General features: G+C 36.7%; 2 long non-coding RNA genes across 3 annotated transcripts in view; one reads left to right on the top strand and one right to left on the bottom strand.

Moving 5' to 3' along the window:
* The window catches only part of LINC02859 (long intergenic non-protein coding RNA 2859), a 48,403-nt gene that overhangs the window by 29,251 nt on the left and 1,890 nt on the right, over positions 1–17,262 (bottom strand). The gene's annotated exons all lie outside the window — the stretch shown is intronic.
* Positions 14,510–17,262, top strand: part of LOC101928338 (uncharacterized) — a 74,787-nt gene continuing 72,034 nt past the window's right edge. For both annotated transcript variants that reach the window (XR_007062640.1, XR_242862.5), the window contains exon 1: positions 14,510–14,586. This is a non-coding gene — a long non-coding RNA (uncharacterized LOC101928338). The remainder of the gene's footprint in view (positions 14,587–17,262) is intronic.

Here is a 17,262-nt window from a genome sequence, read left to right on the forward strand (position 1 = left end):
TGAACACGAATCAGGCACATATGGATTGAATTTCCCTTGAAATACTCCTGGGGTCCAAGTTTAAGGGGTGGAGTGAAGGAGGGGTGAAAATTCTTAGGAAAATCTGCAGACCCCAAATGCTTGAAAATACTTCCAAGATGTCGACTGGCTATGCTGCAAGTCCTGCTGGCCTGAATCAATTCTGAGCCCAGCTGACCTTTGCTTTCTGGAGATGAGAATGGATCTAAGGCCCATATAACAGTCAAGGACTTCCCTGCCCTTGATCTAAACTTCATTCCATGGCACGAAAATAGGGAGATCTGGTAGAGAATGGCTTTGAAAACACAAACCGTAAGAAATGTTCAAGGTTACCAGTTATTATTGCTAGTAGACTATGTTTTTAAGCAAGCAAATCAATCATTCTATGTTTTCTTCCTTCCTGGAATTATAAGAAAAGCAACTTGGAAATTATATAGATGTGGGGAAAAAAAGCAAATACAAGAATATTTCCCTAACATCATTCTGCATGGAAATGTGTGGCATAGTGAAAATATTCTTTGTAAACAGAGGTTCTTATAAAATCTTAAGAAAGAGATCAGTGCAACATTGTGGTCTATTCTAACCCAAAACACTAAACAATAAATGTAGTAAGAAAAAAACATTTAGATTTTGCATTCAGCATAGGATTCATAGATGTTGGGACTACTTAAACGTGATTTTAGGGTAAAATTGAAAGAATTCAGTATCAAGGACAACCTAGTTCAGTATATCCATATATGATCTAAAATTAGTTAGTACTGAATCCTTTCCCAAGAAAGCAACAGAGGATACTTAGAGTAGAATGGGATACATACATTTTAAGCTCTGTAAAAGGAAACCTGTTAAGAAACAATAAGATATATTTCATTTTTTGTTTTATAGGGTATTTTGTAGTTGAACTATAATTTAAGTGCAAGAAAAGTACAAAACTTCTTGGTGGCAGAGGAATTGTTATGGCATTTTTTCCCCTGTTCTTTTTCTTTCCCTTTTTTTTTTTTTTTAAGGCAGGAGGTAATCAGGGATAAATGTTAATGGGATTTTTTTAAAAAACAAAAGATGCACTGTCAAGAGAAAATTTTTTCACAATTGTCAAATTGTGTAGACAGTGTTCAAATGGATCATTCATTATTAGCAGCACCACCAAGTTGAAAACCTACTTTTTCTGGTCTGCAGCTGATTGATGTACATTACTCATATCAGGCTAATGGCACTTTATTTTCCAACAGTAGCAAGTAATGAGTGACCTTGAGTGCATATTGTTTCCCTGAAAGGGTTTGTTGCTCTGCTTCCTTCATAAGCAACCCAAGGAAACAGGCCTCTGTATTGGTGTTTTGCAGCAAACCTCATTTCTTTCATGGCTTTCTGTAAAAGAATTTGATACAGGGATAGAAGCTAACCTCAGTGAGTAAATGAAATATTGATCCATGCTACTCTGGCCTTGCCTTCACCTTGTCCCAGGGCGGTGAGTTACTGACTTTTCCGTTTTGGCTGTAATAGGAATTATTACAACAGGCCTGTGCAAGTAATTACTTGGCATGGTAAAAAAGGAGGGTCCATCATATATTTCTGTAGAGACGTTAGTTTCCATCAGCCCAGCAGTCTGCTTTTTTGGCTCTGTCTTTTCTACTCTTGATTCAATTCTTTTAACCATCATTAATCACACTCCTTGTCAGCAGAAGTTTATCAAAAGTATTAAGTGAGCAAGGTTGCCTGGCCTCCTTAAAAAAATCAGCCAACATGGGGCAGTAAATTTCGAAATATGGAAGGTTGGTTCCGTGATATATATGAGTGTCTCTTCAGCTAGAATGAGCCGTTTGTTTTAGTGATAGATATTGTAGTTTGAGCTGTGATAGAATCCTTCTCAAGTTTATATGTCGTGGGCTATCGTTTATGAGAGACCATGTGTTTCTAAATGGTGAAGGTCATGGCTGATGGCAAAAGTAAAAGCAGTGGTGATTCATTAAAAATAGTTAATAGGGCCTGCGGCTGACAGGGATAAATCGGAACATGTGGCTTGCCAACCCACCAGCACCTAAGATGACATTGCGTTTCTTCAGTCCCAACCTGCCACTTGCAATTGCCAGACAGCTGTGAGCCGAAAGACAGGCGGAAATAAGATCACTTACTTCTTGTTAACAGATTTGGAAAAAGTTTTTGGAAAGAGAGAGAACCCTCTTCTCTTCAGTTTGACCTGGCTGACATGTATTTTAAAGTTGTTACTGCTTTTTTGCTGATCATAAATATGTTTATTACTTAAAATTCAAATATTATAGAAACACACGATGTGAAAAAATGAAGAGTCTTTATTATGTCTGAAATGTTAATTTCCTTTTAAAAAATGACAAGACACAAAATATGACATAATGTTAAGATTTGATAAAGCTGAGAGGTGGTCTGTGAGTGTTTCTTATGGTGGTCTGTATTCTATTCCTGGCGATCTGAAATAGTTCACAACTAAATTTTTTTTCCATTTTCACATCTAAAAGGAAGCCCACCACTGAATCCCATCTCCCAGAAAGAATCACTTTTATCATGTTGTATATTTCTGTATACCCCTCTAGACTTTTTTTTCACTATACACACACACACACACACACACACACTCACACACACATATAGACATAAATAAACATTTGTGGCGTATATAGTAAAGAAAAATATGTTCAATATAATAATAATTAAATACACAAAATATATATTAAATATTAGATTATGCTATAATACCAGTTTGCAACATGCTTTAAAAAATTCCAAGATTTAAATATGAATATTTGATTAAATTCATGGACTCATTCATTCATTCAGAACATATAGCAACTGTCAACCAACCTATAGCAAAATATTCACATCCCTGGAGGGGAACATAGGGCCAGAGTTCTACTTCCAGCTTTCATTCAGAATTTATCTAATAAATGTTTCTGTTCCTGGGTCTTACTATAACAAATATCCTCTTTGAAAACTTTCTGGCTAAATTTCAAGACTCCTAAGAATGAGAATACTAAAAGGATTTTGCTGACTACAATTAATAGAGTTTGATGATCCATTTAAGACTTGTAGATCAACAAAGGAATGTATGGAAATTGATGCAGCCCTTAGGCAATTTCCAAATAAGCAAATATGGATTTTCTATATGTTATGTCTAATGAAGATGGTTTTAAAAACAATAGTGTTTGGGGATTTGATTTTTGTTTTGTTTTGTTTTGTTTTGTTTTTGGTGTGTTTTTTTCTCTCTCTTTCCAATTTGAGAAGTCAGTGAAGAATAACACAGTGGCTTGAAATAATACTGGGAGACAAACATCTTCACTTTTCACTTTGGATTGCCTCTTTTCCCTAGAAAACAAATTGGCTAATAGTTAGAGAGGGTTTGCTACCTCCGGATGGAAAAGGATAATAACCAAGCTGCATAGGAAAAACAGTTCCTGAATATAAGGAAATATATAAGTAGAAAAGAAAAGAAAAAAAAGTTGTTTTTGTTTGTTTGTTTGTCTCCTTGCAACCAGAGCCTTTGCCTTTGCCTGCAAAATCTGAGTTGGTAACTCCAGGCATCTCTCCCTGCATTTGCAGTCTGGACAACAACCCTGCCTGGAGAACATCAATCTCACAAGAAGAACTATCTCTTTCCATGATTTCAAAAGACACAAGTAATTCAACAGTACAAAGAGGTTTGAGTTTTGCAAACTGTGTCTTCAACTTAGCTTTGAGTTTTTTCATTTGTTGACAGTTTAGACTTTGGGGCCACCATTATCACAACAAAACTGCCTGGGCAATAGCAGTGCATTCCGTTGAGAAGTACTCGGCGAGAAGACAGAACAGCATTGCAAATTAACATGTTTACAGGGAAAAGCACTTAGCCTCAAATTAGCGAGGGAGGACAGGAGAAATGTGTTGTGCTTAATTCAAGGCCAAGTGACAATGGGCACAGAGGATGTTTCTGGTTACCATCATCTTGAAGAAGACATTCACAGTGGTTACAAATTGACTTTTTATGGAGAAACTAAGACTGTTTCTAACCTATTGCACCGATATTATATTTCGTTAATATTTTATGAAAGAAAGTCCTCCCATTAGAGGTGGCAAATTGCTTTATAATTATAGTACTTTACAGAACAGACTGAATGCTCCATTTTATGGCAAAAGCACAAAAATACAGCTGCCTTTTCTGTGTAACTCCTTTGCAGAGTCCTTGTGGTAAGTGACTACCCCTCCCATGATTGTTTTTCTTCATTTCAAATATTAGTTTAATTTGCACAGAAAGTCATGTTGCATGCTTGGTATGAGTTAATGAAATATTGATGCAGAAATTTCAATGAAGCAGGCCTGGAACACACTAGGGACCAGAGGTGAACAAAGATACCTCCTCACTCTTCTAAACTCTTGTCTGACTCCATGCCACTCTCATAGTGACTACCAGCCATTAAACATGATGGCTATTTAGTAATGATGACTATAATGAATTGGTAGGCAGAGCAGCATCAAATTTTCATCAGAGAGTATAGATTGAATGGGAATGGAGGCTGGGCTATTTTCCCTTCCTTCTTCCTTCTTCTTTCTCTTCTTTTGTCCTTGTTCTTCAATGAGAAGTAACAGATCTAAGTTCCTAGCAGACAAGGAACATGTTTTATTTATTTTGTATTCCAGAGTATATCACAATGTTGGCACTAAATAAATGTTTCCATGAAAAAAGTTTCCTTTGATTGAAATGTGCTATGTAGCAGAAGCTGTTAGTGCCCTGACATGCCGTGTTAGAACTCCTCACTACCGTGCACACCAGTGAAGTCTTACTGAGGCACCTGGTACTTACTGAAGGTGCTTTCCCTGACCACTACAGCAGGCTCCACTTGCACAGGAGGCCGTGGGAAATTAATGCCCAAAGAACAGCTCTCAACCAGTGATGAATGGAAATTGGTAGATAAATATCCCTCAGGCCAGACAACTCAAAGGTGTATTCAACAGACTTTTTCCAGAAGTCCCCAGTGGAACTGAACTCCAATTACCCACACAGGAATGAACAGTCCTGGTCTTCACTTTCTTTCCTTCCTTGTCTCACTTCCTCATGTCCCCATCAGCACTTCCAGGAATCACATCCCAAATTAACTACTTGCCCTCAAATCCTTATCTCAGGTTGGGCTTCTGGGGAATACAACCTAAGACATCTTCTGACACCAGGATAATCAATTGATAAGAATTGATGGAGAGTTTTCCATGTGCCTAACCTTGTGCTATGCACTATGGGACTATTAAGGCATTTAAAATATTTACATTTACATTGCTCAGAAATTTCTCATTTTGTTAATTTCTATTTCAATGGTTTTTGGGGTCCAGGTGGTATTTGGTTACATGGATAAGTTCTTTATAAATTACGTTGGAAGTTAAGACATACACATTTAAAACAATTATTGGTCCAGACAGCATTATACAGGGATATAATAAAGTCTAAAGTGTGTATTATAGATAATTGGAGACAAGGAAAGTGGACATGTACATGTACAGTTGGGACAAAAGTCATAAAAACAGTTGCTTGACTTGCTGATGCTCATGGGAGCTGAGGTGGATAACTCAAGGAGGATGGTACACTTAGCACACTGGATGGTAGGTCTCCAAGCCTACTACTCTTCATGCAATGATGGCTCAATAAATACTTTGAGAAATGAAAAATGAACAGGAAAATGAGTCAGTCATGAAAACTCAGATGAGCTACACTATGTATTCTATCAAATTTTTGAATTAAATAAATACATAAGTGTAATCATCTCTTATGTAGTGGGGTTTTAAGTATTTGACTTTCTACTTTTCATCTTTTCTCCTATTTCACCTACATCAACTTGGTTCTCTCCCCAAGAGATCTGCTATTTGGTAGCTGGGTGACCACAGGCAAGTTAATTAATCTCTTTAGTTTCAGGTTCCATACCTGTAGAATATTCAAAGGTTGACTGTGACTCTGGGACATGATTTATTTGGCTAGTCCCTCAACTTCCAAGGAAAAAAAAAGTCCCAACTTTCCACTATTGCTTTATCTCTGGCCCCCTCCTATATACTTTTAATACTAAGCTCCTGAAAATATTAGGTGTTTGCCGTTCCTGAATTAGATAACATATAATTTTTTTAACTTTAACAAAGCATTTTTAAACAAGCAAAATGTTTGGACCTAAGACTGTGTGGCTTTGAAGAAGTCATTTAATCTGAGGATCAATTTCCATTTTCCAAAAATGAGGCTATTGCTTTTTTACTATAGATAATTATGTAAAGCACTTGGTTCAATGAACGATCAAAAAAATTGTACTTTTTTATCAACTGAATTCAGATATAATTTACATATTATAAATGCATGCATTTTAAGGACACAGTTTGATGAGTTTTGGAAAATGTGTACACCCATATGACCACACCAATCAATGTATGGAACATCTCTGTCACCTTGAAAGGTTCTCTTGTACCTCCTTGCAGCCAATCTACCCCTTCACCCCCGGCTCCAAGTAAGCACTGATCTGCTTTCTGTCCCTCTACATTAGATGTGTCTCTTTCTAGAGTTTTATATAAATAGACTCATGTAGCATGTGCTCTTTTGTGTCTGGCTTGTGTTGCTGAGCGTTTTTGAGATTCATTCATGTTTGTGTGTGTGTCTGTGGTTTGTTTCTTTGTAATGAGTGGTAGGTCTTCTTTTACTAATCTAGCAAGAAAGTTATTTCTTTCTAGGGGCCTTTAGACATTACCGTATCTTGCAGTTATAACTGAGGAAGGATGAATCATAAATAGATTTAAATGATATGATACCTAAGATATTTTTTCTAAATAATTTAACAATAATAATAGCCAATATTTATTAAATACATGTTTTATAATGAGCATAAAACAGAAAATAAGAGGTGTATTAATTTTCCACTGCTGTGGCTTAAAAGAATAAGCATTTATTATATCAAAGTTTCCATGGGCCAGGAATTCAGAACTTGCTTTGGTTGATGATTCTGGCTCAAGATCTATTAGGAAGTTGCAGCGAAGATGATGGTTTGAGCCACCATCAACTGAAGGCTTACTAAAAGTTGGAGGATCAGCTTGGATGGCTCACTTATGTGACTAGCAAGTTGGTGCCAGATGTTGACAGGAGGTTTCTCCCCAGCACCTGTGAATGTGATCTTATTTGGAAACAAAGTGTTTGCAGACGTAATCAAGTTAAGATGAGGTCATACTGGATATGGTGGGCCTTAAGTCCAGTGGTTGGTGTTCTTATAAGAAGAGAGAGACTTGGAGACAGACACACAGGGAAGAGAGCCATGTGAACATAGAGGCAGAGACTACAGTCATGCATCTACCAACCAAAGAGTGTCAAGGATTGTAGGCGGCCATCGGCTACAAGCAGCAAGGAAGAACTCTTCCCTAGAGCCATTGGAGGAAGTATGGTCTTGCCAACACTTTTATTTTGCGCTTCTAGCTTCCAGAACTGTGATAAAATAAATTTCTGTTGTTTTGAGCCATTTGGTTTGTGGTAACTTGTTATGACAGCCCTTGGACACTGATACGGGGACTAAATAACGGCATGAATACCAGGAGGTGGGGATCACTGAGGACCACCTTGGAGGCTGGCTACCACAGGAGGGGGGAACCTACTTTGATGGAGTAATTAGGGAATGTGATAAAGTTTAAGCTGTTAGCTGAAAATGACGAAGAGCCAACTAGGTGAAGTAGGTGAAAAAGCATTTCAGGCAGATGAAACACCTTGTAAAGACTTTATGGCCAGGAAAAGTTTGGTGTATTTGAGGCATGGAAAGGAGGCCAAACTTGGCTATTCTCTATTGGGTAATGAAGAGATTCAAAATAGACTGGAATAATCAGCAGAGGCTGGATCCCTCCCCATTTGAGGGAGTTTGAATTTTATACAAAGGGCAGTGGGTGGTGTTTTAAGCAGGGGAGTGGCATGCTTTTGTTCGTGATTTTAGAAGATGACCCTGGCTGCCATGTGGACAATAGATTGAAGAGAAACAAGATTTAAATGAGAAGACCAACTAGGAGACTACTGCAATAGTCCAGGCAAGAGGTATTATTGCCTTAACAGAGGGAATTAAGATGAAAGGAAATAGATAAGACTATTAGAGATATATGTTGGAGCTCAAGTTATAGGGCTTAGTCATTATATGCGGCATATAGGCGTAAGAAAAGAGAAAGAATCAAGGATAATGCCCACTAAATGCAGAATATTCTTTCCCAAGTAATTGAAACTCCTACTAATTTAAATGAGCTTTACCTGTTGTGAAATCTTCATGCTTAGAACTCTTTGTCATTCCCTATTATAAAGGCTACGCTACTTAGCTTGGCACAGGGATGGCCTCAATAAGTCTTTTGCCTGAACAGCCAGCCTCATCTCTTCACCTACGTCTATCACACTGAGCTGCTCATTCTTCTGGGAACATGGCACGATGACAAAACACATCCCCTTCCCTCTACCTGGAATATCTTTCCAGCTTACCTCCATGAAGTCTTCCACATTGGCAAGGTGTTTCATCACTTCTCCTACTTTGTTCTCATAGCATCCTGCTGACCCCTTTTTTTCTTCTTATCTCACCATATGTTAGTGATCCATCCCACCATATGTTGTATATCTGTATGTCCCATTAACCATGGGCCTCCTGAGAGCCAAAAACTCATCTAATTCTTATTTCATATCTCTGTCTGCTCCTAGCATAATCATAAGCACATGGTAGAGACTCAATTAATGATTGTCAAGTGAATAACAGAGATAACAGAGGTGACTGGAAGTGTTTGACAGTTATTGGTAGATACATTATTTCTGATGAATATCAAGATATCATGATTTCTCTCTAAGTGAGAATCAAAGAATCCCAAAGGCCCACCAGAAAAGACAGTAATGTGATTCATACACTTATGAAATCATTCATTTGACAAATACTGAGCACCTATTATGTGTCATGGTTCCAAGTGTCAGGGACATAGCAGGAAATAGGGTGGACAGGCCTCAATTCTCATGGATATTACATTCTTTTGAGAGAAACAAATGATAATTAAATGTACAAAAAAGTGAATAAGGTAACTTCACATGGCTGTGACCACAATAAAACAGAATAACCTGATTGAGTCTGAGTGGGGGTCTCTGAAAGGTGCTTAGAGAAGAGATCTGTTAACCAGTAACATAACAACAGGAGAGAAAAGTTTCCAGGCAGGCACTCTAACTACAAGTCCCAGAGTTAGAAAGAAAGAAAGACAAAGAAAGAGAGAAAGAAAGAAAGAAAGAAAGAAAGAAAGAAAGAAAGAAAGAAAGAAAGAAAGAAAGAAAGAAAGAAAGAAAGAAAGGGGGAGGGAAGGAAGGAAGGAAGGAAGGAAAAAAGAAGCCTAGGCCGGGTGTGGTGACTCATGCCTGTGATCCCAGCACTTTGGGAGGCCAAGGCAGGTGGATCACCTGAAGTCAGGATTTCGAGACCAGCCTGGCCAACATGTGAAAACCTGTCCCTACTAAAAATACAAAAAAATTAACCAAACATAGTGGCAGGCGCCTATAATCCCAGTTACTTGGGAGGCTGAGACAAGAGAATCGCTTGAACCCAGGACGCGGAGGTTGCAGTGAGCTGAGATGGCACCATTGCACTCCAGCCTGGGCAACAGAGCGAGACTTCATCTCAAAAAAAAAAAAAAAAAAAAAAAGAAGAAGCAGCCTATGATATACCCTAAGCTCTACTTTCAAATGCCATGTCAGGTTTTATATTGTAAAAAAATCAAAGCAAACAAAATCATCAATACGTTTTTAAACAAGTTTAAAATTTCAGGGAAATCATACTTTACATACATATCTGTAACCTACTTGCCTTTATTAACTTCATATCTTTTATTGTCATTAAATTTGTTCTACAAAAATTTGTAATAGCTATATAGTATTTCTACACAGATGTAACATAGTTTAGGTAATCAAACCTCTATTTTTGTCCATTTATATCATTTTCAATTTCTCATAAGTAACAGGAAGGTAAACATCTTTAACTGTAAATACTTTGTAAATACATGATTTTTTGGCATGTGTGACAAATTCTTAGGAGAAAAACTGCTGAGTCAAATATTTTCATCCACATGTCCAATTTGTCCTGAGAAGTTTTGTAACCATTTGCTATCCCACCATGAGCAAGCAGAGGTTAGATGCCTGATTAGAATTAGCTTGTTTTGTATCATATGAACAAAAGGAGAATTGTGCAACTTATTCCCAAGAAAGGCCACCAACGTGGTTGGAACAGCCATCTGAAACCTTCAAGGACAACATTCCAGTAGCAGTTGTTTCTACAATCATCAGGACTGTAGGTGCAGCCCTTACCCATTTGAAGTAGTTAAAAATCATCCACACTATTCTCAGTGGGCAGAATGAGAGGATTTCCATCTACTGAAACACGACATGGCTGATTTCTGATTTAACTATCAATGGTCTTCAAGCATTTAACCTACAAAAAATCTAAGAGTTCCTAAGGTTTACCAAACTGATCACCAATTTCAATAGGAAATTGACAATTTATGAGAAAAATCACTGAGACTTCAGACTTCAAAGGAACAGCCATTGCTAAATCTACCAGCTTCTGCTTTTCAATGACTATCTCAACAAAACATTCAGGGCAGTCACTATTTCTGCCAGGAAAAAAAAAAAAGCAACACATAAATACATTGTATGACTGGGGAAAAGGTAATCTGAATGCATTGCTCCTGCAACTTTTAAAAATTAATAAGGCATTTAAATTGTCTCTTGTAATCATTGAAATTTACAACTGGAAGGGTTTTGAGATATGACCTTGACTTATGATTTCTTACCTTTGAAGAAACAGAGGCCCAATTTTGATGTAAAAATATTTTTGAGAGTCCCAACTTAATAATAAACTTTTTTAGTTTATTGTTTGAGAACATAATCATGACAATGAATCGATGAATCCAGAAATAATTTTTAAGTTTATTTTGATATCCCCAAAACAAACCTACACACCTGTAAAATAGGAACACATATATAAGCAAAACACATGATTTATTTAGTCAGTGGATCACTTGCAATGAACTCCAAGCACATTGCTTGCTCCTTCCCCACCTCAGGAGTTTGTCTACTACAGATTAGGAATTACTGAGCTTATAATATTAGCAGTGAGGCAACTAAAGTGCATGAAAGTCATGTGAATTATCCAAACCATAGAATTAGCAAAGGAGCTAAAACTGGAGCCAGAGCACCTGATTTTTCCTCTAAAGCTCTTTCCTGAGCTGGGTTGGGACTACAGCTAAACTAAGGGTGTCCAGTCTTTTGGCTTCCCTGGGCTACATTAGGAGAAGATTTGCCTTGTGCCACATATAAAATACACTAACACTAACAATAGCTGATAAGCTTAAAAAATTGCAAAAAAAAAAAAATCTCATAATGTTTCAAGAAAGTTTACAAATTTCTGTTGGGCCACATTCAAAGCTGTCCTGGGCTGCACGTGGCCTGCTGGCTATGGGTTGGACAAGCTTGAGCTAAATCATTTACCACTGTGATCTTGAAAGTCACCTCACCTTGCTAAGCCTCAATACCCTAATCCATGCAGTGAATAATTATATAATTCATGTAGGTGCTTCCTCTGAAAGCCCAGTTTCTGACCTAGAGCAGGTGCTCTGTACACATTAGCTATTTTCATTATTGTTATCTTGATTATTTTCATTTCCACAACATCTTTGCTTTAGACTTTATCACAAACAAATGAAAGTGCACCAAACCTTTACAATTTATCTGCCAGGGCTCTCTGCTTATCAATTCTTCAATTACCTAATGCAACCCCATGTCATTCAGGGCTTCAGAAATGCCTTCCCATTTTGATTGGAGGAGAAGTGGTTCCCGCTCTGTAACTTATCAACTAACCTTGCCTCTTGGGTATTTACATAAAGAATGGGAATTTATTTGAAAAGAAACTGTGGGAATAAATTGCCCTTAACTATTCTCCCACAACTATGTGCTATGAATTTGCATCATTCATTTCTATCTCTCTGCAGGCTGATACACAGTTTGTTTATAAAAAGTGAGATCTTGTGTGTCTTGACTAGTAAGATCATGAACTCTGCTGAAGAAATGCTATTATTTCTGCTATTAAATTGGTTTATTTAATGGATTTTTATTTACATGCATTGTTAAGCTAAAACAAACAAAGAAAACAAGAAAGCAACACCCCTGATTTCCCAACATGATAATTAGAGCATAGAGAAATTCAAAGATCCTCCTTTCCTCTCTCTTGTCTTTTTTGCTGTGTGGTTATTAGGCCTATAGCATAGTCAAGATGTTACTCTAAAGCAGACTTCATCAGGAAATAAGGAATTTGCTATATTTTGCAAAGGACTATCATAAGTATTTCAAATTGTTTTTCTATAGTGCACAAATGACAGCACATTTGATGCTTTTCTTGCCAGACCATACGTACATATCACAAATTATCACATACATCGGATATATGCTTGTCCGAGACAAAAATAGGAATGGGAAAGAGAAGTTTTTACTATTCCTTTGATGTAAATCCTAAACCAGACTGACATTAGTTATATTGGCTAAAAGCTTCCTGAATCTGCTGCAATAAAAAAATTGTTTGCTAACATAGGACTTGATGACCAACACAGTGATTGAGTCAAAAACTGAGTCAAGGCTGGGCACGGTGGCTCACACCTGTAATCCCAGCACTTTGGGAGGCTGAGGCAGGTGGATCACGAGGTCAGGAGTTCGAGACCAGCCTGGCCAAGATGGTGAAACCCCATTTCTACTAAAAATACAAAACAAAACAAAACAAAACAAAACAAATCAGCCTGCCACAGTGGCGGGCACCTGTAATCCCAGCTACTCGAGAGGCTGAGGCAGGAGAATCGCTTGAACCTAGGAGGTGGAGGTTGCTGTAAGCCGAGATCATGCCACTGCATTTTAGCCTTATCGTGGGCAACAGAGCAAGACTCCATCTCAAAAAAGAAAAAAACAAAAACAAGCAAAAAAGAAAAAAAAAACTGAGTCAAGTGAGGAAGAAAAAGAAAAGAGAATGTGAGTTGGGGGATAAAATGTCCTTGCTGCACATTTATAAGACAAAGTCAGAGTCTTGGCTCAAACACTGATAACTTGATTTTGGACAAATCACCTAACCTCTTTAAGCAGTTTTCCTCATTTTATAAAGTGGAAATAATAATAATCTTAGCCAGTTTATCTATCAGGGTTGTGATGAGAATCAAACCAGTTGATGATTATAAAAAGATTTTGTAAATTGTTAAATGTTTACAAAATACATGAGTAAAGTTATAGCTTTTTCAGTCTCTCTTGATTTGTTTTCACATACCATGGAAGAAATTAGGTAAGACATAAAAGTAGACTCAGCTTTAGTTCTTTATTTTCACACTTAGTGAAGTGCCTATCATCTGAGAGAGCAAACAATGCTTTTATTCTTGCATCATAAAAAAAACAAAAGTGAGATCTCTCCTTGAACATTGTGATCTAATCCTGCTTTGTTGTATTTCACTTCCTGTAGAGTGGACAGTCTTATCTGACTATCAAACGTTAGGGTCACAATGTTGAAATTCCATATTCACTTTTATCTCCCACCTCTTTAACAATCTGCTTGATGCAGTCAGTATCAAGACTGCCTTATCTGCCCTCTAAAATATTTTTCTGTTAATCACCAGGTAATTCAATTGAGACAGTGATTGTGTCTTAAAAATAACTGAATGTATACAGTTTCCTTTTTGATGTACTAATTCCCTAGTGGCAAATTTTATCTTTTTGTATATATCTCTCTGTGACCTTTTAGAAATTACCAGCAGCTTTAAAAACATCATTTTAACATATTTTGAACATAAATCATCTAAACCAACACAATAATAAAATATGTATTATTCCCTTATTTTAAACTTAAAAAAAGTTTTCCACACATATGAATAAGATATAGTAAGGAATGGTTCTTTTTAAAAAGTTGGGGGGTTTGAAAACAGGAATATTATTTGTTCTTAATAGGCAAATCTGTATTTTTTCCTATTCACTACTATCATCAATTATGTTTAATTTAAAGCTCTGGTTAATATCCAGGGCCCACTTGTCCCTGGGGGAAAGTTATATTCTGAAGATTGTTTTAGAAAGATTCTAGTGCCTATGTTCTCACCGCTGAGCAAAAGGGAAGATTGAAGAGTGAAGTTTTGCAGATGGGTTCCCTAAGAAAGCAAAGACACATGTGTGTTTTCTTAGTGACGCTCATATACTTTTAGTTCACCTTGTGACACCTGTGGCTGCTCTATATCAGACAGCATGTGTCTGGTGGCAGCACCCAAATGTTAAAATCCAGCATGCAAAGCCAAAATCATCAACATGTGATTTACCAGTGAATCAGCCTGAATTTGCTCCCTTCAAGAAGAATGGTGCCTGTATGTAAAAATCACAAAGCATGCACCGTTGGTGGCACTTGGTGGCTTATTCATTATTCTGTTTGGTAGATTGGAGAGGCAGAAGAATAAAAAGAGTTATTGTTCTCATTTCCATGTGATTTGACTCAGGCATGTTTAAAGAGTAGCTCTTGTACCAGGGAAATGAAGATTTGATCCTGCACTGCTCTTAAGGTAAATATTTTTACTTAATTTGATCTAAATGAACATTGGACTCTACCCTTATTTTTTTCTCCTGGTATTTTCTCTTCTCATTAAAATCTCTGACGCTGCTTTGTCACAGTTTCCACTGACAACAGGGTCTCATGCTCATTATATGCTGGCTCTGAGTTTTGGGACAAAGGTCACTTAAAGAAGAGAAAATCATGTTAAAGAAACCTTGGAGAGAAAATTTGAATATGGCAACAACTATAAATCTGTTGTAAATATAATGAGTTTTGACTACTTTTTCTCTAGAGAAAAACTCAAGCCATCAAAGAAAATTTCTTAAGCAGTAAACTTTCATTCTACAAAATATTGTCTTTTAACTTCTTACTGATGTACCTTCTTTTGGAAATGTAAGCGCTTAATGACATATTGACTCTTGCTGAAGCCACAAGCCAATTACTCATCCTTCCAAATAGATTTTTTTTCATGGAGTGATGGAGATGGGAATATGTAGAAGAAGATAGAAATAAAATTAAAAATTCATTGGGAAAACAGAATAAGAACCATTTAAACATGAACTCAATTGTAAGTGACAAGGTATAAAAAACGAGGTGTTTTATAGAATCAAATATAAAAACTTGACTAGAATAATAGGAAAGATGTGTTAGTAAAACCATGGCAATATGATAACACCATTGTTATTTATTGAACACTTTCTATGTGTTAGGCATGTGCTAAATATAGTAGCTAAATATAGTATTTATCTCATTATGGGTGTACCCAGAGATAAGCCCATTTGGGATGTATAATATCTCAACTTCTGGGTCCATTTCATTTAATATCCTTGCTCTAGTATGTGAAGTATGTATGTTATTTGCATTGACAAAGACTGACCTGAATGCTGCATAGCTCACAAAGTGCTGAGGGATGGAAGGGGAGCTACCATCACATCTGTACTCTTCTAAATTTGGATCACATGAAGTTCTCCTTCCAGAAAGCTCTGGTTTAGTATCCCAGGCAATTCCATAAATCCATAACATAATTTGGTTCATGATTTCTTTTTGTACAGCTATGCCTTTGTTTATTTTTTATGCATTAAATGTGAATTACTTAAACATTACTATGTGTGTTTTGTATGAGTGCAATCTTATGAATATAGTGTACAACGGCTATGAAAGAATTTAACTAGAAAAAATGGCAAAATTTTAAAACAATTGATGAAAGTAATAACTTGTTAGTTGTATAATGCTAATCAATATTAACTATTGAAGAAATTATGTCCATTATTATGGGTTTTGGTGTTCTTTTGGGATAAGTCAATGTTAGCATTCAGAATACATAAAATTTAATTTTTTGAAATTTTTAGGGATTCCACTTATTTCTCATAATGAATTCCTTAAGGTATTTTCAGGCACAAACTCTAAGTATAATTATTCTCATTTTACTATATAAGAAACTAATATCAACAAGTTTAATGATCTGCCCAAGGACATACATATGATGAAGTTGGAGTATAAACTGTCTGACTGTTATAGCTTGTTATCAATGTTGAAACTAATGTTATCAAACCCTGTTACTATAGGACAATGCTTGCCTAACAAAGAACTAGCTCACCAAATGAGAATTTATATGCTTCTTCTAATAGCTATGCCATTGTTTAGAATATTTTTTGAAGTTATCTTTAAGTCATGTCCTTGGAGACTATTTATGGAGCTCACAAAATAATGTTTCAGTACTTTGCAGTCATCTTTGAACACAACTTGACCATCTATCTTATTGATAAGAGCTTTTCCTGACTGCAACTTGAAAAACTTCTAAAAAGACCAAGATGTTGGCACCATTGCTACTTTTTTAAAAAAGTGAGATACAGTCCCTAGGTGCTGAAAGTGGAGTCTCTAAACTGGCTTGGAAAATGATAATATTATTGCTTCCCAACTAATTTTGTACATCTGTTAAAATATAGTTTTGACAATCATAGACTCAAAGATCTTAGCATTTAGAGGATTTTGAGAGACTCTGAGATTCAGAAAAGATAACATAGGCTCCTGTAATCTCAGCACTTTGGGAGGCTAAGGAGGGTGGATCGCCTGAGCTCAGGAGTTCAAGACCAGCCTGGCCAACATGGCTAAGCCCCAACTCTACCAAAAATACAAAAAATTAGCCAGGCGTGGTTGTGTGCACCTGTGGTCCCAGCTACTTGGAAGGCTGAGGTGGGAGGATTGCTTGAGCCCAGGAGGTCGAGACTGCTGTGAGCCAAGATTGTGCCACTGCACTGCAGCCTGGGTGACAGAGGAAGACCCTGTCAAAAAAAAAAAAAAAAAAAATAGGGAAATTAGGAGATTTTTGTTTTGCCAAAAAAAAAAAAAAAAGTTTCTGAAGGGTAAATTCAATAGGGGACAGTGGAATAATATATTCAAAGTACTAAAGGAAAATAGCTATGAACCTAGAACTCTATGCCCAGTTTAATTATCATTTAAGTAGAATTTAAGACCCTTCTTTTTGGCAAGATCAAAGTGGCAGGTAGAGGGTCAGAAGTTGAGGACAGCAACATTCTAGTAGAAAATGCTTGTTGAAGGAAAAGATTTCTAAGAGAGCTTTCCTGAGACCATGGCAGTCACAAATACCTTGTCATTTGCAATGAGTTCTTTAGAAACACTTTTACAACACAGTACTCACAGATTTCTACTTACAAAATCAAGCAAC

The sequence above is a fragment of the Homo sapiens genome, chromosome 11 (genome assembly GCF_000001405.40).
Source record: "Homo sapiens chromosome 11, GRCh38.p14 Primary Assembly".
Lineage (NCBI taxonomy): Eukaryota > Metazoa > Chordata > Mammalia > Primates > Hominidae > Homo > Homo sapiens.